Raw genomic sequence first — 23494 nt, forward strand, 5'->3', positions numbered from 1 at the left:
GAGCTCAGGAGGTTGGGGCTGCCGTGAGCTGTGATCATGCCACTACATTCCAGTCTGGTCACGAGAGCAAGAACCCTGTTTCAAAAAATAAAAAATAAAATAAAAACAAAAAATTCAGACACCAGAGATTTGTCTACTAATATGCATTTTAATTTTCTAAGGACAAGCAAGCAAAGAATGATCATGATTTTCTGAATTTAAAATCCAGGGGTGAAGGAACTACCCAGACATCTCTGATGCTGCCCATTCTTTTATCTTGAAGGAACACTGCTCTGGGCATGACAGATGAGGATTAAGTAATTACGCTACACACTCTGGCGTGTGTCTCCGAAATCTGCAAACACATCTAGTGCTCTGAAAGCGGACTTGTAGTTGGTTTTTTAAAGATGATAAAGAGAACTTTGCTACTCAAATAAAAATAACTGATATGGCCTTCAAATTTTCCTAAGTTCCCGAAAAGCTTATTTTTCCTAAGTGTACCCATCTCAGATAAAGGCAGAAATCACCCCTCTCTCAATACAGTCAACTTCTCTAAAGATGATGCATACAAACACACCAGACTTTGGCAGAATTCTCTAGCGGAGATTTAAAAGAAAATATCTCGTGGCAGTAGAGAGTCACATGAAGACTTCCAACAGCTCAGACATTCTCCTTCTACACAAAAGGGGAAAGGCCCTCTCTGTAGCAATTGTTTGATAAACAGACCACAGTGGCGTTTTTTTACTTCTCCTCTGATATAAGTGAAAATAAGTCCTTGGTACTATGTATGGAAGGCAGGTAAAAACAATGAAGTGATAAGTATTTACAACACAGATTTAATTTATCTACACCAAAATTTTAAAGATTTTCTGCTTTAAGTAGAGTTATCCTGCTTAACATCCTGCCCCACTAATTTTTATTTGAATTTGGAAAAAAGTCAAATGTGGACCCCTAAGAGTACATTCATCTTTTCAGAAGCAGCTAAGCCCTGATTTTTCAAAAAGCATTAATCTAGACTATTTTATAAAATTATAAAATTGATTTAAAAATATTTTAAATCAAGACTAAAGGTAGATGATATCTTCATTGTAAAAAGAAAAAGATACTATACATTCCCATCCTGTGAAATTACAGCCAAATTTTATCCATTCAGGATACTTTGGGAATGAGGCGTTCTATACAGCTTAGTTTCCCAGAGAGCTGAAGGGCTCCAAAATTTTCTTAAAATAGAAATATTTCTAAAATGTACCATATATCTGTGCTTCCACGATCACAGTCTAAGACACATAATATACTTTTTCCTTAATAACTTATAATTGAAGACACCAGCTCATGTGTACAAATTGAATGTAGATCAAAATGTGCTAGGTAATTTGGTCACAGATAAGAATTTATGTACTGTGATGCCCACAAGAGAAAGCAGGAAAGATCTAAAATTGACACCCTAACATCACAATTAAAAGAACTAGAGAAGCAAGAGCAATCACATTCAAAAGCTAGCAGAAGGCAAGAAATAACTAAGATCAGAGCAGAACTGAAGGAAACAGAGACACAAAAAACCTTCAAAAAATCAATGAATCCAGGAGCTGGTTTTTTGAAAAGATCAACAACATTGATAGACTGCTAGCAAGACTAATAAAGAAGAAAAGAGAGAAGAATCAAATAGATGCAATAAAAAATGATAAAGGGGATATCACCACTGATCCCACAGAAATACAAACTACCATCAGAAAATACTACAAACATCTCTACGCAAAAAACTTGAAAATCTAGAAGAAATGGATAAATTCCTCGACACAGACACCCTCCCAAGACTAAACCAGGAACAAGTTGAATCTCTGAATAGACCAATAACAGGTTCTGAAATTGAGGCAATAATTAATAGCTTACCAACCAAAAAAAGTCCAGGACCAGATGGATTCACAGCTGAATTCTACCAGAGGTACAAGGAGGAGCTGGTACCATTCCTTCTGAAACTATTCCAATCAATAGAAAAAGAGGGAATCCTCCCTAACTCATTTTATGAGGCCAGCATCATCCTGATACCAAAGCCTGGCAGAGTCACAACCAAAAAAGAGAATTTTAGACCAATATCCTTGATGAACATTGATGCAAAAATCCTCAATAAAATACTGGCAAAACAAATCCAGCAGCACATCAAAAAGCTTATCCACCATGATCAAGTGGGCTTCATCCCTGGGATGCAAGGCTGGTTCAACATACGCAAATCAATAAACATAATCCAGCATATAAACAGAGCCAAAGACAAAAACCACATGATTATCTCAATAGATGCAGAAAAGGCCTTTGACAAAATTCAACAACGCTTCATGCTAAAAACTCTCAATAAATTAGGTATTGATGGGATGTATCTCAAAATAATAAGAGCTATTTATGACAAACCCACAGCCAACATCATACTGAATGGGCAAAAACTGGAAGCATTCCCTTTGAGAACAGTCACAAGACAGGGATGCCCTGTCTCACCACTCTTATTCAACATAGTGTTGGAAGTTCTGGCCAGGGCAATTAGGCAGGAGAAGGAAATAAAGGGTATTCAATTAGGAAAAGAGGAAGTCAAATTGTCCCTCTTTGCAGATGACATGATTGTATATCTAGAAAACCCCATCATCTCAGCACAAAATCTCCTTAAGCTGATAAGCAACTTCAGCAAAGTCTCAGGATATAAAATCAATGTACAAAAATCACAAGCATTCTTATACACCAATAACAGACAAACAGCCAAATCATGAGGGAACTCCCATTTACAATTGCTTCAAAGAGAATAAAATACTCAGGAATCCAACATACAAGGGATGTGAAGGACCTCTTCAAGAACTACAAACCACTGCTCAATGAAATAAAAGAGGATACAAACAAATGGAAGAACATTCCATGCTCATGGGTAGGAAGAATCAATATTGTGAAAATGGCCATACTGCCCAAGGTAATTTATAGATTCAATGCCATCCCCATCAAGCTACCAATGACTTTCTTCACAGAATTGGAAAAAACTACTTTCAAGTTCATATGGAACCAAAAAAGAGCCCGCATCGCCAAGTCAATCCTAAGCCAAAAGAACAAAGCTGGAGGCATCACACTACCTGACTTCAAACTATACTACAAGGCTACAGTAACCAAAACAGCATGGTACTGGTACCAAGACAGACATATAGACCAATGGAACAGAACAGAGCCCTCAGAAATAATGCCGCGTATCTACAACCATCTGATCTTTGACAAGCCTGAGAAAAACAAGAAATAGGGAAAGGATTCCCTATTTAATAAATGGTGCTGGGAAAACTGGCTAGCCATTTGTAGAAAGCTGAAAGTGGATCCCTTCCTTACACCTTATACAAAAATTAATTCAAGATGGATTAAAGACTTAAAATGTTAGACCTAAAACCATAAAAACCCTAGAAGAAAACCTAGGCATTACCATTCAGGACATAGGCATGGGCAAGGACTTCATGTCTAAAACACCAAAAGCAATGGCAACAAAAGCCAAAATTGACAAATGGGATCTAATTAAACTAAAGAGCTTCTGCACAGCAAAAGAAACTACCATCAGAGTGAACAGGCAACCTACAAAATGGGAGAAAGTTTTGAAATCTACTCGTCTGACAAAGGGCTAATATCCAGAATCTACAAAGAACTCCAAAAAATTTACAAGAAAAAAACAACCCCATCAACAAGTGGGCAAAGGATATGAACAGACACTTCTCAAAAGAAGACATTTATGCAGCCAAAAGACACATGAAAAAATGCTCATCATCACTGGCCATCAGAGAAATGCAAATCAAAACCACAATGAGATACCATCTCACACCAGTTAGAATGGCAATCATTAAAAAGTCAGGAAACAACAGGTGCTAGAGAGGCTGTGGAGAAATAGAAACACTTTTACACTGTTCGTGGGACTATAAACTAGTTCAACCATTGCAGAAGTCAGTGTGGCGATTCCTCAGGGATCCAGAACTAGAAATACCATTTGACCCAGCAATCCCATTACTGGGTATATACCCAAAGGATTATAAATCATGCTGCTATAAAGACACATGCACACGTATGTTTATTGCGGCACTATTCACAATAGCAAAGATTTGGAACCAACCCAAATGTCCAACAACGATAGACTGGATTAAGAAAATGTGGCACATATACACCATGGAATACTATGCAGCCATAAAAAATGATGAGTTCATGTCCTTTGTAGGGACATGGATGGAAGCTGGAAACCATCATTCTCAGCAAACTATTGCAAGGACAAAAAACCAAACACCACATGTTCTCACTCATAGGTGGGAACTGAACAATGAGAACACATGGACACAGGAAGGGGAACATCACACACCAGGGCCTGTCGTGGGGTGGGGGGAGGGGGGAGGAATAGTATTAGGAAATATACCTAATGCTAAATGACGAGTTACTGGGTGCAGCGCACCAACATGGCACATGTATACATATGTAACTAACCTGCACGTTGTGCACATGTACCCTAAAACTTAAAGTATAATAATAATAATAATAAATTTATGTGCTGTGGACCATGGAACAGGAAGGAGTCTGTTTGACCCTCACAGTATTCTGAAATTTGTCCTCTCAAAAAATTCCTGATGTCAACTCCTATTTGTATCATTTGCCTCTTCCTCACAGAGGTAGAGTGAAGCTATGTGGTAGAGCATGGCTTTGCAAGGAGTAAAATGTTTTAAAAAACTAGTTAGTGAACCAAGGCTGGAGAAGTTTCCTTGCAAATGGTTTTCCTATTCCCTAGGTGGGTGTCATTTTGGATGTTGCTATCAGCTACCTCCTTTTTTCTTTTTCTTTTTTTTTGAGATGGAGTCTCGCTCTTGTTGCCCAGGCTGGAGTGCAATGGCATGATCTCAGCTCACTGCAACCTTTGCCTCCTGGGTTCAAGCAATTCTCCTGCTTCAGCCTCTCAAATAGCTGGGGATTACAGGCACCTGCCACCATGCCCAGGTAATTTTTTATATTTTTAGTAGAGACAGGGTTTTACCATGTTGTCCAGGCTGGTCTCAAACACCTGACCTCAAGTGATCCAAAATGCCTTGGCTTCCCAAAATGCTGGGGTTATAGGCATGAGCCACTGCGCCTGGCCTGCTATCAGCTACCTCTGACTTCAGCTGGAGCTTCATCTGTAAGGGCTCCCAGGCGCTCCTGGAAAGTACACATTTCCCCAGCTTTCATTCACTTTATTCAATGATTGAGAAAGAGAAACATGCTTGGCCAGTTCACAAATCTGAATTTAGATGTTTGGGAGTTCTCCAATGTTTCACTTCTTTTTGCTGAGGTAGGCTTGTAAACTTGGTTAAAAGAAACTGGTGTAACCTCTTTGAAAAGACAATTGGGCTCTCTCTCCCTGTATTTTACACATGGATGTAAAAGTCATTAAAAAGTACATATTCTTTGACCTAGAAAATCACTTTCTAGGAATCTAGCCTAAGGAATCACTGGCTATATAAACAAAGAGGATGTGCAAAGAGGCTGACCACACCGCTGATTATAAAAGTAAAGTAGGCCTGGTGCAGTGCTGCACGCCTGTAATCTCAGTACTTTGGGAGGCCAAGGTGGGAGAATCACTTGAGCCCAGGAGTTTGAGACCAGCCTGGGCAACATAGTGAGACCCCATCTCTACAAAAATAGAAAAATTAGTCAGGTGTGGTGGTGCCTATAGTCCCAGCTACATGGAAGCCTGAGGCCAGAGGACTGCTTGAGCCCAGGAGGCAGAGGATGCAGGGAGTCATGATCATGCCACTGTACTCCAGCCTGTGCAACAGGGCATAAAAGTGAAGTTTAACTAAACCTCTAACATTAAAGGATTGGTTAAAAAACATGGAAATTCAAACAATGGAAAACTATTCTGCCATTAAAATTTTAAAATAATGATCCACATATTATTGACATGCAAAGATTTCCACAATATATTGTTAACCCAAAGAAAACAATAGGTTTCAAAAATATGTGTGGTTGTATATAGGGGAAGGTCCGAAAGGATCTGTATTAGAGGTTCCCAAATGATTCTGGTAGCCCTTAGAGTCTCAGTAATTTTTCACAATGCCTCCAGGCCCAAACAAATACCTAATAGAGCTGTCTGTTAAGTAGTTAGATCCAAACAACATAATAACTATTTATGTCAGAATGATTTAGCAGCTGAAAAAAAAACACACATAAATGAAAACTACTATTTCCTTCTCAAGTAACTTTGTTATAACTTGTTTATAGAATGTATACACCTGTTGGGCACTGCATAACTTTAAATCTTGGAATCGCTGGACACCACTACCTTATTTCCTGTTCCACGCTGGTTTTCATGTGATACACTTTTTATCACTAAACACTCAGCAATCACTGAAAACTCGGTTTTGTAAAGATATGATGTCATCAAAAGGAATGTAGTGTGATCTAATGCTGAAACTGTGAACTATCTCCAGCTAATAGTTGGCAGAGTGTTGTACGATGTTTCCCTTAATGATGGAAAGTATCTGTGCCAACCCTAGAGCTGCACCCAGAATTTGCTGTGGTGCCCCAGAGCATCTTGGCACACAGTTTGGAGCTGCAGGTATATAACAAGATGTTAACAGTTGCTTTCTCTCAGGTTACTGGTGATTAAAAAAAAAAAAAAGATTTTCTGAACTTTTTCCCAATAAACATCTGTTATTTTTTACAATTAGAAAAACCACTAAAGTGATTTATGTATTTTTCAGAGTTCTTTATCTTTACAAGAAGATGGAGAGTCTCCCCAATTTTTTACTGTGAAGAAAAGTCTAAGCATAAACAACAGTAAAAATGGAGTCTTGGATGATGCCTTAATGATGAAAAACTCCCTCATGAATAACGTTCTGCAATAACTCCTCCTATTCTGACCCCCTCCCTGATACTTGCACAGGTTGGATCAATGAAGTCACTGGTGTCAGGACACTAACCCAGACATTCACCCCACTTCCTGCGGGTAGCCACTACAATTGTTTAATAATAGACTCTCTGTCCCTCAGCTGATGTGCTTGTAATAGAGCATGGTCATGCCCTTGTGGGAACTGAGCTATAAATGGTGCTTTGCTCTTGGTCTGCAGAGCTTTAGTCTCTGGATTAACGGTGCTCCTTTTAAAACAGTGCCTGCTGCTTTGCACCCTGGTGTACACTGCTGCCGTCTTTAAAGGTCTCCACTGCTCTCTTTGTTCCCTTCTGGTTACTTTTGCCCTGTTTGTCAGTTTTTGCACTAAAGAAATGAATGGGCTTTTATACCTTCACCAATTGGGACTTTCAGAACCAGCCTAGTGAGTTAAGTCTAACAGATATTTAGCCCCCTTTGATAGTCAGTTGTTGCTGGATATTTTGTTTGTTTTTGCCTTTGTGGGAATTGGTGGGCAGAAAAAAACATTTTCCAGTTTCATGCTATTTTTAAAACCTGAGGATTTTTTACAAGTTTTGGCATCGTATAGTTGAAGTTCTATTGTGATCAATATTTCTATTCATTTACTTTCTTACTAAACAAGTGTCCAAGGAATTATAAAACACTTTTTTTTTCTAATTTAGAAACTTCTACAAATGTATACATCAATTGCAACTTAACCTTTACAAGTTTAGGAATAATGCTGTAGTAGAATATTTAAAGGAACTTTCTGCATAAACTTCAGTTAATATAGGTCTTACTTTTAAAATATCTTCTTTAAAAAATAAATAATATTGCTTACTATTGGGATAAAATTATTTTAAAAAGAATAATGAGAACAGCTCCCAATTCTCCTTTACCTGCCCCAGGGTTCCCTCAGCACTTATCACCTTTTCAACATACTATACACTTTACCTATTTATCTTGTTAACTGTCCATCTCCTCCAACCAGAATGTAAGCTCAGTAGGAGCAAGAATTTTTGTCTGCTTTAATCACTGATACATCTTGTCTCCAGCACCTAAAATGTAGGGGCTCAACAAGTATTTGTTGAAAAGTCAGTAAATGAGTGACTGATTCTTAAAGACCTTTTTGTAACTCCATTTTAGAAGACCAAAGAAAAAAAGACAAAATCTTGAACATTAATATTTATACAAACCAAATACTACTTTTTGTAGGTAAAATATGATTCTATTGTGATGTAAAGTTACCTTTTTGACTGTAGTGAAATCCATGAATGGCAAGGATCTAACTAATTTACTATTGCTCCTCTTCCAGGAAATGTTTCAACTTTCAAATAAAGAGGACTTCTGATTGTCAAGCATGGCAAATTCATGTGGAATGCCTAAAAATGCTGAGTACTAAAAATATTTTTAAAGATATGGCTAAGCAGCAAGAAAGTAACAGCAATTGTTAAAAGTTGAAAATGACAAGGAAATTAGAACCTAGAGAAGTAAGTAGGTAAGTCCTGCATAAGTCAATCCCTGATGGGGATATTAAGAGACAAAGGGACAGCCTAATGTCCACACAGGAAGGTCAAAGCCAATACCCTTGAAAGATGAAATCCTCAGTGGGTAAATTAAAAAAAAAAAAAATCTTCCCAGAAATAGAAGACAGAATAAGTCTTGGTGATGGGAGAGGAGAAAAAAGAAGAAAATTTCCTCAAAAAATACAAAGCCCAGGCTGGGTGCAGTGGCTCACGCCTGTAATCCCAGCACTTTGGGAGGCCGAGACAGGAGGATCACTTGAGGTCAGAAGTTTGAGACCAGCCTGGCCAACATGATGAAACCCCGTCTCTACTAAAAATACAAAAAAATTAGCCAGGTGTGGTAGTGTGCACCCGTAGTCTCAGCTAGTTGGGAGGCCAAGCTAGGAGAATCGCTTGAACCCAGGAGGTGGAGGTTGCAGCGAGCTGAAATCTCACCACTGCACTCCAGCCTGGGTGACAAAGTGAGACTCTTGTCTCAAGAAGAAAAAAAAAAACAAAACCCCACAAAAAAACAAAAACAAAGCCCAGAAATTACATATCCATGTGCCCTTTCCAAATCCAAATAGGGTAAAAAGTCCTGAGTTGGAAATGACTACAAACACATAGCAGAAGCAAATACAAAGCCTCTCTAGAATAATGAATATTAAATCTAAGTTTCAAGAGATTTTCATAAGAATTCCAAGTAATTAAGTTCACAATCAAAAATCACAAAACAAAGAATCAAGCTGTCATGAACATGAATGAGAAAAAACAAAACTGCAGAATGAAATCATCAAAGGCTTTAGCTATTGAATGTATTGAACACAGATATAAAATAGATGTGTTTAACATTTTTAAAAAAGTAAACAGGATCTTAAAATATGAACAAGGAAGATTTCAAAAATGACTAGGCAGATTTAAGAAACAGCCAAAAATAACTTCTAGAAATGAAAATATAATAATTATATTTAGAGACTCACATGAGTAAGTCCAATACCAAAATAGATGCAGCTGAAGTAGGAATGAGTGATTTGGTAAACAGATATAAAGAAATTGTACATAAACTTATACAAAAATGAAAAATATAATCTTACGTTTAAGAAATTATATGGCCGGGCACAGTGGCTCACGCCTGTAATTCCAGCACTTTGGGAGGCCAAGGCAGGTGGATCACGAGGTCAGTAGTTCGAGACCAGCCTGACCAAAATGGGCAAACCCCACCTCTACTAAAAATACAAAAATTAGCTGGGCGTGGTGGCATGCGCCTGTAATCCCAGCTACTCGGAAGGCTGGGGCAGGAGAATTGCTTGAACCTGGGAAGCAAAGGTTGCAGTGAGCCGAGATCATGCCATTGCACTACAGCCCGGGTGACAGAGCAAGACTCCATCTCAAAAAAAAAAAAAAAAAAGACATTATACATAACATACAGAAGGAAAATATAAAAGAAATATTTAGAGATGTAAAGGGCAGAATGTGAAGGAAAAAACAGACAATGTGGGAAAGGCAGCATTCAAAATAATTTTTTTTTCTGAGATTTTTCAGAACTAGTAATCATCAAATTCAGAAAGCCAAATGCATCCCAAGGATGTTAAATAAAAGAAATGCCCACCCAGACAAAGCCTGGTAAAACTGTAGAAGACCATCATAAAAAAAGCTCTGGGGGAAATCTGGGGAAAATGTCTTTAAAACACTGAAAGAAAATAATACTGAATATGTAAGTGTATACCTAGCAAAACTACCTTTCATAAATAAAGCATGAATAGAAGGTATTTTCAATCAAACAAAAAATAAGAAAGTTTACTTCCAAAAACATTCATTAAAGGTACTTCTAAAGGACATGCTTCAGAAAACAGCGATGATCTGAGAAGAAGAAATGGTGAGAAAAGAAAATAGTAAATACATGACTATGTTTAAATAGAGTATAAAAAACAGCTGCTACTGTATACAAATTGTAATAATGTGTAATATAAAAAATAATATAAAACTATAAACCAAATAACCATGGCATGTTAGGCTGAAAAAGAATGATCCAAATTAAAGAACTCTAAGGTTACTGAACTGTTTGAGAAAAGAATGAATACTGTTTAGTGTAACACTTTATTAAGTTACATAGGATGCCAACATCTCTAGGGTAAGCGTGGAAAAAAGAGAATGGTGTGTACAACTGTTAAATTAGTAGAAGAAAAACCATGGAACTATATTTAAAAAAAAAAACAAAAGCAAAATCCAAATGAAGGCAATAAAGAAAAAATAAGGCTCAGGAAAAGCAGGACAAATAGCAAAAAATAATATGGTCAAAATGAATATAAATGCATTAGTGCAATCAATAATTAGTGTAATCTGCTAAACAACATACATCAACTGAATATTTTACTTAAAAGACAATGACTGATTGAATTAAAAAATAGACAACATATGTCCACACAGACTTGCATGTGAATGTTCATAGCAACTTTATCCACAATAGTTGAAAAAACTGGAAATGACCCAAATATCCATCAACTTGTGAATAGCTAAAAAACAAACAAACGAAAAACCTGTGGTATATCCATACAGTGAAATTATACTGAAAAAATATAAAGGAATGAAACTCTGATATGTGTAACAGCATAAATGAATCTCAAAGGCATTATACTAAGTGAAAGAAGCCAAACACAAAAGTCTACTTACTGTATGATTTCATTTGTATGACTTTCTGGAAAAGACAAAATAACATAGTGATAAAAAATAGATCAGTAGTTTCCTAATGCCAGACGTGAGGGAAGGAAACTGATAGCAAAAAAGCATGAGGAACTTTCTGGTGTGACGGAAATATCTATAGCTTTATTGTGGTAGTGGTTACATGACTATACACACCTGCCAAAATTCATCAAACTGTACACTTAAAATATGTGAGTTTGATCATATGAAAATTATACCTTAATAAAGCTAGTAAAAAGACAAATTCCAATTATGTGATTTACAAAGCACAAATCTAAAGCCTTTTGTGTCTTTGAATAAAGGAGGCTGGGGGAAGAACTGCGTAGGCAAATAATAACCCAGAAATCTGGTGTAGCTAAATTAAACCCATACACAGTTAATTTTAGGCAAAGAGATAAAAAGGGCCATCACATATTAATAGAAATATTTAATTCCCTGGGAAGATATAATATGTTCCTAATAATGTATCTTCAAAAATATATAAACCCAAAAATAAAAGAACCTCAAGGAGAAACTAACCATAAGACAGTCTCATTTATGAACATAAATGCAAAAATCCTGAACAAAATATTAGTAATTCAAATCTAATAATTTCCAAAGAAAAATAATGTGTCTAAATTTGGGTTATTCCATAATTCAAGGTTGCTTCAATATCAATCAGTGTTATTCACTAGATGAAAGAAGAAAATATATGATTATCTCAAAGAATATAGAAAAAGCATTCAATAAAATACAACATTCATCATTCATGATTAAAACAAAGAATAGAAAGAAACTTCCTGAACTGGATAAAGGATATCACAAAGCAACCCTATAACAAATACCATACTTTATAATATAAATGAAAAGTTAAAGTTTTATCTATCACTATTTTAATTTAACATTGGAGATTCTTGCCAGTTCAGTAAGACAAGAAAAAAGAATTAACATTTTATGGGTTGGAAAGGGAAAAAAAACTATCATTACTTGTAAATGATATAAAGAATCTACAAATTACTTTTATTAATAAGGAAGCCAATAAGGTTTCCATATACATGATAAAATGTAGGACCCTTTGACAGTGGCATGGCTAAATAAACTACAGTAAAATAAACACAATAAAATATTCTATAGCAATGAAAATGAATGAACTAAAGTTACACAGGTCAACCTGGATAAAACTCAGAACATTGTGTTTTGTGGGGAGCAAGTCACAAAATAATCAGTATGATTCTATTACATAAAAGCTAAAATGAGATAGTATATTGCTTTGGGATATATATATGGTAAAATTATATGTGGTACATATGTAGTAAAACTAAAAAAAAAAAAGCAAACAAACAAGACAGTAAGTAACTCAAAATCCAGGAAAGTAGTTGGGGAGAGGAGAAAACAATAGGAGAGAGGTACATAAGGGTTTCAGTAGCAATGATAATGTTCTTCAGATGAGTAGCAGAAATGTGGATGTTTTCTTTATTTAATCCTTTAAAGTGTATCTACATGTTATATATTCCCTTCCACATGTATGATATACTTCATAATCTAAAGAAGTAAATGAACCTGAGTGAACTTTGTTAGAAATGCATTTTAAAGTCAATGTTACTTCAAGTTGGAAAACACAGGCATTTAGGAAGTTCTTTTTCTATATCTAAGTTTTGAAATTAATATTTATTATTTTTTCTTATTCCTTATTCTAGGAAAGTTGAGAGTTCTCATTTATACAATGGTTTTCCTATTACACTGAAATCATAAGAAACTCTCTTGGTAGGTTTTAAAGGTAAATTATACAACCATTTTGTTTTCACAACTGCCTGTATAAGACAGAAGAAAAACAACAAATGAACAATTAACTGGTAAGGAAAGAATATTAACTAATAAGAAATGTCAAAAAGGCTTGACTTCTCATATTAAAAACAACTTTTTGGTGGAAAAAACCTAATCCCTTCTTTTGAAAGAGAATTTTTCAAAATTCTCAGTGTTGGGGCGGTGGGGGGTGAGTGGCTGGGGGTTGGGAAATCAGATCTCAGATCAATAAACAGGCAAACAGGTTGACTAAGAATAGAAGGTATCATTATGTATTTTACATATTTTGTATTTTCTGCATATTAGATGTTTTGACATCTTAAAACTACCTTTCTGGCTAGAGAGAGACTGTCTCTTTCAAGGCTAGCCGATTCTCAGAGATAACAAAGAGCCCGGCTGGTAGCATGCCTTTGACAAGAAAATTCACCAATCTAGAGACACCCCTCCTCTATCTGGCCCTCAGAGGCAATATTTCTCTGCCTTTACTATACCACAGCCAGGTACCAAGCAAGCAGGGACCACCCAGAAAGCTTGGAGCCTAACCAAACTACTTCAACTAGCAATTCTAAACTGTTAACCCTGCCCTGCCTTGCCTTTCCCTTGGAAACTCCAATAAAGGCTGTGGCTGGCCCAAGCTCTCCCCTGGCTCCTGCCTTCTGCCTCCTGACTAACACGGGTGTTTTCCCTTGTGGCCCTGCGTAGCATGTGGTGACACGCCTCTATGGGACCTGTGAATGTAACAAATTTCTTCCTTCCAAGCCCTGTTCTCATTTCCCCTTCAGTGGCTGTACTGATTTTATCACATATCCAACATGTACATTCTTAAAACACATAGCAAAGCAGGAGTTTCAGATGTTAACCAAGGTCTCCAGGAATGACAATTCTGGAGCTCAGGGCGAGCAGAGATTAGTGAAGGAGGGAGCAAATTTACAGGAAACAAGAATATGCAAATACTGAGAGTTTGAGAGTTCAGTGGTCGAAAAACAGGAGATAGCTGTGGAAAGTGCACACTGGGAAGGGGCAGCTCTGAGGCACCTCACGGCACCTGGACAACCTCAACCAGCTTAAGGTGCCTAACAGAGGAATTTATAAGCTTCTTGCTGGTATGGGAACAAATCCCCAAGTGAGGTGCCTGCTAGATAGATCTGCAGGTTGAAGTAGATCAGGGAAACGACACACCGGAGGAGAGGGATGTAGGGGCAGAAAAGAGGGGCCCATCCAAAAAATGTGTGTGTATCCCCACCTACCCTTACCTCCTTCCACTTTTTCTACAAGCGTCAGAACTGCTCAACATCATCACTTCCAAATCAGTTTTGGTGACAGAGTCCAATTGCCCAAACCAGATGCAATGCCCTCATTATGTCTTACCAGCCCTCCTGCTCCTGCCTCCTCCAGTTCATGCTTCACGTAGCCACAGAGTAATCTTTATAGAACACAAATATCACCATATTACTTCCCAGCTTAAAAACCTTTCAGGATTGACCCATATCCACCCAGAGTAGCCTCCAAGCCACTTAGATTGTCCTCCTTTCTGCCGTCCTTCTGGCTTCTCTGGCTGGAGACTTTAGACCACAGCACTGTAAACTGATTCCAACTCCATGTTAATATGTTAATTTAATATGTTAATATTAAAATATTATTTCATGGGTCCAGGTATTAGCACATTATGTACTCTTTTCTCCTTCTGAAAGGAAGAATCTTTGCCTGCCTTAACACTATTATTCATCTTCAAAAATCTGTGCAACACTTCATTCTGAAGCCTCCTCAAACAACTGCAGTCTGCTCGCTTTATGGACCACCTTGCTGCTCTCATTACATTCAATGCACACTATTTTATTCACATGTATGTCTGTCTTCCCAACTACACTGCAGACTACTTGAGGGCAGGGATGGTATCTTATTTTTTCTTTGTATTTCCAGTGGGTAGCACAGCACCTGACCCATAAAAAAACTATCATCTATTGAGCACCTACCGTACAGCAGATCCCATACTAAGCTTTTCAAATGTTATGACGTGAGTTCCCACAACAACTCAATGAACTATTTATAATTACCTCTTTTACAAACGAGGAAACTGAGATTTAGGAGGTTAACATCCCCAGGACCTTCCAGTTAGTAAGTGGTAGAATTCTGATTAGGACTTGGGTCTCTGACACCATTGCCTACGTTAGCTCCTTGGGCCTCTGGTGAAACGTAATGCACGAAATGTGGATCGGATCGTATGAAATCTCCCCCAACTTACACCCTGGGTTGAAGGCTGTGAAGCTTATGCAGAATGCTAGAGGAGGCATTAGGACATGGGGTTTCTGGTTCTGCCACTGATTAACCTCAACTCTGGGCTGTCGCAGGCTTTCTCTGGGCTTCACTTTCCTCATGGGGGAAATGCCATCCTTAACAGATCCCATGTCATATCCTCACTCTTAAGGACCTCTAAAGCTGATAAGAAGGTACTGTGAATCATAAACCTAGGTACTCTTTCTAGATATTGGCCTTGAAACATCTCTTCCTTCACTGAAAAACTGCTTCTGAAAAAGGATGCCAGAAGCCACTTTTGGTCAAGAAAATGTCCACTTTTGTTCTCAGCACAGAGCAGGTACCCGGACTTTCCCTGTTCCCAAGTGCTGTAGACCAAAATAGCAGGGAACCAGGATGAAGTCAGCCAGAAACACGCTTTCTATAACTGCTCTTCACAGAAGAGAAAATCAACAAGCTAGTGTTTAAATAATGTGCAGGGTGTGATACCAACCGAACCTCCGCCCTCCTTCCTGGGGAAATGCAAAGTTTGCTGTGGCCTTTTCACAAACCTCGGAGAGAATGAAATGTCAGCTCTAACACTGAATTTCCCAGCTTCATTCCACTTCCCTCACCACCTCACTATTACCTAAGATGACATTCTGTATATTAGTATACTACATCTTAAACATCATCCCTCACTCAGACATCAGATTACAAACAAACAGCTGAATCCTACAGCTGTTCCCACTAGAAACAAAAAGATTCTTAACATATTTGAAGGGAAAAAATCTGTTTGTTCCCAGATGTCTCCTGAGCCCATTTCTGGGGCGTGTCTACTAGTAATAGTGCGTAAACGCTAACTGTACTCCTCGCTCCTATTTACACACACTATTAGTTTTCAGTAACCACTCCTTCCCAACTCCCAAAAAAGACAGCTAAGAAAACAATGTTCACTTGGAGGAAGAGAAACTAAATTTCTTTTTGCTGTTCCTCTCAATCAAACCCTTGCAGGAACCAAAGTATTCACTGTGGTTTAAACACTTGTCACTCAAAAAAAAAGTACCCAGAAATGCCATGAGACTTCCTATAATTTCACTTTTATTTAAGGAGCTGTGCTGCATCAATACTTGCTTTGGGCACAAAATGCAGAGGAGCTTGATGGCATTTTGAGAATGGCACAGATGCAAAGTATTTAAAAAATACATACCACCCAGTGTGTTCCTGGGAGACATGGCTGGACTCAACATGTTACTATCAGCAGTGTTAGCCTGGTTCCGCAGGGGACCACATATGCACATGTAGGTACTGAGCCTGTGCTCTGGGATACATGCTGTGCTAAATGGTTTACATTTTTTATGACTCGTTAAAATATACTTAGGAGGAAGGTATGTTCTCCCCTTTTTACAGATGAGGAAACTGAGCACTACATGAACTGCCCCGAATCACATTGCCAGTAAGTTTGCAAAAGTGGCATTTGAACAGTCAGTCAGACTCCGAATATGTGAAGGAGTTCTTTAAGGGAACCAAGGAAACAATGTGCATTACAACCCTTGGGAGACACTCTAGTGTGTATTTCTATAAATTAAAAAAAAAATGGGAAGAAATTGATCACTAATGAAATGTATCCATCTGTCATAATGAAGATTTTAATGACGAAACAAGTAACCTAAAACTAAAATTAAGACATTACAAATATCAAAGAAACAAAGATACAACCCCTAAAAGGGGCTGGGGTGCTAATATTTAGAAAAATAAATGTGTTTCAACTACTGCCCCCTCCTGGTGGCATAACCAAAGGTACCTTTCTTTTTCTTAACTTGATGGATTTGGAAGGTTTTCTTCTAACTGATCTACCAAAACAAAAAATGTAGGTAAAGAAAGACTGTATGGAGCTTATTGAGGATAAGGCTTAGTTCTGGACTGGAGTGAAGGTCTTTCTAACTGAGTAACTATAAGAAACTATGAAGCATCTTGTGCCTCCATCTTCTCATCAGAAAAATGGGAATAATATCCACTCTATCTACCTCAAAGGTTATTGTGGGCATCAAAGAAATAATGCATGTGAATGTTATTTTCAATGAATCTAAAATCTAAGGTATTATGATTAATTAAAGCCATTTATAGTATCATCTATTAAATTTAAAATTACATTTACTCTTTAATCCTGCAATCCCACTCCTGGGAACCAATGCCATAGAACTAATAGCACTGTATCTAAGAACAAATACAAAGATGTTTATGATTTCAGTGTGGACAATGGCCAAAAAAACTGAGACCAAAGTAAATATCCATGAGTAGGGCAATTGTAGAATAAAAAATTCTAATAGTTACCCCACTGGAATATTATGCACCCATTAAAAAGAATGTTCTAGAGCTTTATCAATTGAATGAAGAGATTTCAACACAGTTTTCTGAGAAGAGCAAAACATAAAAAAAGAATGTTTAACAGGGAATTCTAAAAGTCTTAGTGCATTTTAAACTTTAATAATTTCAGAAGTATAAATGCTATACACTTTCAAGAAACAATATATGAAAAATAAAAATTTAACTTTTTAAAATATTGATGTTACTTATTAAAATCAATATAAAAACTATTATGCACAAAAAAACTAAGAGTAAAATTTATTATTCAAAATTCCAAAGTTAAATAAGTATAAAAGAAATATAAATAGCTAAATGTTTAAATGTTTCTAAGTTTATAGCAATTATACCTCTAAAATTATGAACTTAAAATTGCACTAATACTTAAAAATGTTATTTCAATAGCTTTAGGCATACTAGTGTTTTTGGTTACATGAATAAACTGTATAGTGGTAAATCCTGGGATTTTAGTGTACCTGTCACCCAAGTAGTGTACACTGTACCCAACAGGTAGCTTTTCATGCCTCAACCACCTCTCAACCTCCTCCTCTTGAGTCTCCAATGTCCATTACACCACTCTGTATGCCTTTGTGTACCCATAGCTTAGCACCTGCTTATAAGTGAGAACATGGTATTTAGCTTTCAATTCCTGAATTACTGCACTTAGAATAATGGCCTCCAGTTCCATCCAAGTTGCTGCAAAGACATTATTTCATTCTTTTTCATGGCTGAGTAGTATTCCATACTGTGTGAATGGAATGTGTGGTGTGGAATACACACCAGTCCAATGGAATGGAATGCATTCTATTTACACACCATGGAATACTACTCAGCCATAAAACAGAATGAAATGGAATTATGTGTATTACACACACACACACACACACACACACACACATTCCTCACATGTTTTATCCACTCATCATCTGATGGGCACTTAGGTTGAACCCGTATCTTTGCAATTGTGAATTGTGCTGCAATAAACATACACCTGCAGGTGTCCTTTTTATATAGTGACTTCTTCTTTGGGTAGATACCCAGTAGTGGGATTGCTGGGTTGAATAGTAGATCTACTTTTAGTTCTTTGAGAAATCTCCATATTGTTTTCCACAGAGGGTGTACCAATTTACATTCCCACCAGTAGTGTGTAAGTGTTCCCTTTTCACTATATGTACATCAATATCTATTGTTTTTTTACTTTTTCATTATAGCCATTCTGGCTGGGGTAAGGTGGTATGTTGTTGTGGTTTTAATGCATTAACACTTTGAGAACACTCTATAACATGTTTTTGTTTTTTAAAAACAAAATAACAGTCCCCTCACTCCCACTGTGTGGTGTGTGTGTGTGTGTGTGTGTGTAATTGTACATTTACATAAACAGGGGAAAAATGGAAGGCTATATGTGCAGTTAAAATGGGAGAAGGGAAAAGAGGAGGAGAGTGATCCAGACAAAAGAGGAAAAGTTGTTGTTTTTTTTTTAAAAATGGGGAACCAAAAAGTGTATATGCTATTATCACATTTATGTACCTATATAAAATCATTTGTATTGTACAGCTATATAATATTACATGTTTAAATTTTATTATTTTAGAGACAGAGTTTTACTCTGTTACCTGAACTACAGTGCAGTGAACTACAATTGCACTGGCACAATCACAGCTCACTGCAGCCTCGATCACCTGGGCTCAAGCAATCCTCTAACCTCAGCCTCTTGAGTAGCTGGGACCAGCTACGGCACCACCATGCCTGGCTACTGATTGATGGATTCATTGATTGTAGACACAGTCTCACTTTGTTGCTCAGGCTTATTATTATTATTTTGTTTTTTAAGAAAGGAAAGAAACTTGCCCCAAGTCCCATACTAAGCTAATGGCAGAAGAACCAGAACTTGTACCTAGGTCTCTCTGACTCTGCAGTCTGAGCCCTGAAGGATTACACTGTGATTTAGGATGGTTATGGATTCACAGGCAGGACTCACTAGCCCTGCAATTGGCCTCTCCAGCATGGAGTTCCTGACCATTATTCGTCAATCTCAGGAGCTGCTTTCAAAACAACCAATCGTCCTTTGAACCTCTCACTTCTGGGGTGGAGCATGATAGCATGGTAGATGCTGCAGACATGAGGCTTTTGGTTGATGCTGATAGCAACCCTCTGTTGCACAGATACATAATTTTAATCACCACTGCTAAGTAACTCTTATTGATTTGTTCTTCTCAGAATCAAAGACACTTTTCTCTCTCTCTCTCTCAAGTAAATTAAAAATGGAAACATATTGTCAATCCCTGAACACGTGGTGTGCTTTTTTCCTTCAGGCCCATCACATACTGTTCCTTCTATCTGGAATGTCCTTCATCTTTTTCCTCTGCTGGGAAAACCCTTCCATATTCTTGAAGTTGCAGCTCAAATATCACGTTCTCCGTCAAGGATTTCCTACCTCATCCAGGCAGAACTGCTTCACCCTTTGCATGCCCTCAAGAATCAGGACAGGCTTCTCTTAGCAGTGCTCACTGAGGCTTTGATTATGGGCTTAGGGACTGATCTTCCACTGGAGACCTCATGAGTATGGTCTCACTCTCACCTTGTTCCAGTGGCCAGCATGGTGCTTGGCACATTATAGCCTTCAATTAAATATTGGTTCCATGAAACTGTGAGATTGAGAACGTATTAATTCACAAGGTAAATAAGTCATAGGTCCAATACTGAGGCAAATGAACATGCAATCTTCCATGCACAAGGCCAAGAATCCCTTGCTTTTAAATAATATGAACCAAATCACTACCAGGAAAGAGGCTACACCTCACACAGCGGATCTTCACTCTCGCCTTTCCCCAACTCAGCAACAGCAGGACAAGCTATGAAAAGTTCTTTTGTAAGTTTATGGGAATAATAATTCTTTTAATAATTTCAATTTTTATTTTAGATTCAGGGGGCGCATGTGCAGGTTTGTTACCTGGGTATAGCAATTATACCTTTGATATTTTGAACTTAAAACTGCACTAATATTTTGAGAACACACCACATAATGTTTTCATTTTTATAAAACAAAGGGAAAATCCTCTCACTCCCTCTCAAATGCTGGCATTCAGTGTGAAATCATAGCTGGAATGTGACAGATGTGTATTGTGTGTGTGCACGGAAGGCCTCTTTACTAATTCAGACCAACCTTTACCTCCTCAGTGTGAGATTATCTACTGAAATAATAATGACTGATATTTATATACAACTTAGAATGTATTTGCTTTCAGAGACATTACCTGGTTTGTTGTATGAAGCAGAAAGCAAATCAATCAACCAGATTTATCATTATGTTTACACTGATTTTGCAGTAGATAGTAACCGAGTTTATGCCTTGACCAAATGTCCATATATAACATACAGTCAGTAAAACTGTTGACTGGCTGTAGGTTCCTGCTGTGAGAAGTGTGATCTGTGAAATTCTAACATGCCTAATAACATTTATTCCCTTATGATCTAGCATAGATTTAAGCCAGGCAAAAAGTTTTAACAAAAACTGATTATGCTTGTCAATAACCGTGAATAGTATCCCAATTAAGACAATGGTCATTTATTTGTTCCTACTGCCACCAGTGAAAGCAGGAAAAGCATTTGGCAAATCTATTTCTGTCACCCTCAGATTTCAGGAAGAGAAGTTCAAACAGATGAAGCTGATGTTACTGGAATAACTCATTCTACTCTACCATTCTTCCTGATCTACTCCCCAGGCTCTGTGAGCTGCTGGTAATCAAGGATGTTTGACTGGGTTCTGTTAGCTGTCAAGGTTTACTAAGCTGAGTTAGTTAATGAGTGATGGCTGGATTTCATTCCAGGACTTCATATCAGCCATGAAGCAATTAGGCATGTACTTCATGATCTCCCACTGGAATTTCAAAGGTGCCTTAGTCTACCAAGGAACTAAATTCAGTGTGGTCTGAAAGGAAACAATAAACAACATTTAACCATGAGAGGTAGCAAAGGACGTCTTTTCTCAGTGTCTATGTTAGACAGGTGAGGAATGTTGCCAATTTATTTTTTGTCCATATAACCTCTATAGCTATTTCTTCTCTTGTCTGTCGTTCTGAAATTATAAAGGGTTCTTATGAGTTGTTTATGTGAAACCAAGTACCCTGACCCACAGGCAAGGTATTCCTGGAACTGCTGAAATAGCAAGCCAGATAATGATATCATTTAAAAAAGTGCCAGGCAAGAAAGCTCTGATTAACTACTGAAACATGCTCAGTGGAGATATTTGTAGCTAGAATAAACGCCATTTTAACATCTCCTCTTTATCTAGGGTCCTCCTTCCTCATGCTATTATTGTGAATATTTCCTCTTCAGATTCCTGCATACAAGGAAGACTGATGAAAGAGAGTAAAAATCACTTTTGGAGAAAAAAAGGTAAGAGCTGGCAGAGGTAAAAGAAAGATTCTGAACCTCATCAACAGTTGTTGCAATCTCACTCACCTCTCTGGCTAACCTTCCTCCCTCCACCCCTTCACTGCTGCTTTCCTGCCACTCACCCAGACTGGACTTTCTACTCTGATGCTCCACAAGAAACAGAAGTGGTAAGAAGACAAGCAGGCTCCCGGGGGAAGTGGAGGACCATATGAAGTTTCATGAAAGAAATGGCTTCAGGGATGATGAGGCAACTCTTCCTAATACAAGGGGTAAGCCCTAGCCCAGGGGCACACCCATCCTCTAGGAGGCCAGGGATGGTCTCTGTCACTCCTGGGAAGTCCCTGCAGACTCTACCTGCTTTCCAAGTGCTTCAGGAAACATCACCTTAAGGTTGAAGGAGGACAAACTCAAGCAGTTGCCTATGGTATGGCTAAGGGGGTGGCAAACAGAGGGCTGGTGATTTTTACAAGTAACCTCTCACAATACTTGCGCCATTACTTCTCTTTTCATTTGTGTCCATGAATAGAAACTCTCAGAGGATAGTATGTTAGCTCCATGGCCTGTGGCACTGTAGAGTGAGTTCTTTAGAGACTGAAGGAGTTAAGAGTACCTGTTTAGCTACCAGAAGCTGAATGTCAGCCGGTATGAATGGTATGTAGCTGGGCAATTTTCCAAAACCCATGCGTGGCTGCGTATCAGGAAGACTGCTATAAACAAATGTGCATGTATGCATAGAGCCTGATAAGTCAATGGGGGGAGACAGACACGGAACAGCCAACCAGCCTGAGGAAATATGCAGAGCCGGGTGAGCTTCCACTTTAGGTGAACAATAGCTCTGTCTCGGAAACAGGTCTGGATGGGCTGGTGAACAGTTGGAATGATCCTTTGACTTTTTACACATTAAATGTCTGTTTCAGGGGACCGAAAGCTGGATTCTCAATTTTCCAATTATCCTAATATTATAAAATCACTAAAATGGTGTTTTAAAAAAATTCTTAATATGTAAAACATGCAAAGATACATTAGGTGAAAAAAGCACAGGGCAAAACTGCATTTATAGAACCCAATTATGTAAAATATATAGATACATTTAAGATGATACATTAAAAATGTCACTAAAATATAACACGATCTTTTTGTGGTTGTGGGATTATACATGATTTTTGTTTTTTCTTTCTACTTTACTTTCCAATTTTTCTAAAATTAACATATATTATTTTCATAGTTAAGAAATAAGGTTACTTAAATTAAGAAGAAAATTACCTGTGGATGAAACGACATCTGATGATGGGTTATGAGGGTTGGGGAAGGCCAGAAAGGCATAAAATAGAACCAACCACGTTTATAAAATGTTAAATTCAACTGGTCTTCACGTCTACACACATTAGTATCTTCTGTCTTACACTGTAAACTCCCAGAGAGCAAAGGCTGTGTCTAATTCTGTGCAATGTCTGGCTCAATTAAAAATGTAGACAGAATATAATTTTTATGATGATTACGCAAATGTAGTTGGTTCTTTTTCACTCTGGCAGCCAGTTTAGTGTTACTGATGCTTGGACAGTGACACAGAATAAGAACATACATTGTTTTCCCCCTTTAAAATCATAGTGTATTAATAGGCTACTTTTAAAAAATTTTTTTGCAGCATATACACTCATAGAAGAGA

General features: G+C 37.7%; 1 protein-coding gene and 1 long non-coding RNA gene across 3 annotated transcripts in view, besides 3 other annotated features; one reads left to right on the forward strand and one right to left on the reverse strand.

Moving 5' to 3' along the window:
* The window catches only part of BACH2 (BACH transcriptional regulator 2), a 370316-nt gene that overhangs the window by 236033 nt on the left and 110789 nt on the right, over nucleotides 1-23494 (reverse strand). The gene's annotated exons all lie outside the window — the stretch shown is intronic.
* Nucleotides 11174-11318: an enhancer, noted in NCBI's record as "145 bp 6:90883525 sequence used in MPRA reporter constructs". NCBI's record gives its function as "activates a minimal TATA-containing promoter with rs10455168 allelic activity by MPRAs in C283T melanocytes {active_cell/tissue: C283T}" and the evidence as "EXISTENCE:reporter gene assay evidence [ECO:0000049][PMID:36423637]".
* Nucleotide 11246: a transcriptional cis regulatory region, noted in NCBI's record as "rs10455168 or 6:90883525 MPRA-significant variant associated with a GWAS melanoma risk locus at 6q15". NCBI's record gives its function as "allelic transcriptional activity by MPRAs in C283T melanocytes {active_cell/tissue: C283T}" and the evidence as "EXISTENCE:reporter gene assay evidence [ECO:0000049][PMID:36423637]".
* LOC105377890 (uncharacterized) lies at nucleotides 21702-22953 on the forward strand. Its single transcript, XR_001744258.2, has 2 exons — nucleotides 21702-21828; nucleotides 21955-22953. It is a non-coding gene; the product is annotated as an uncharacterized LOC105377890 (long non-coding RNA).
* Nucleotides 21721-22920: an enhancer, noted in NCBI's record as "MED14-independent group 3 enhancer chr6:90894000-90895199 (GRCh37/hg19 assembly coordinates)". NCBI's record gives its function as "activates an origin of replication core promoter dependent on BRD2, BRD4, P300/CBP and CDK7 cofactors, and independent of MED14, by STARR-seq in HCT116 cells {active_cell/tissue: HCT116}" and the evidence as "EXISTENCE:reporter gene assay evidence [ECO:0000049][PMID:35650434]".

The sequence above is a fragment of the Homo sapiens genome, chromosome 6 (genome assembly GCF_000001405.40).
Source record: "Homo sapiens chromosome 6, GRCh38.p14 Primary Assembly".
Lineage (NCBI taxonomy): Eukaryota > Metazoa > Chordata > Mammalia > Primates > Hominidae > Homo > Homo sapiens.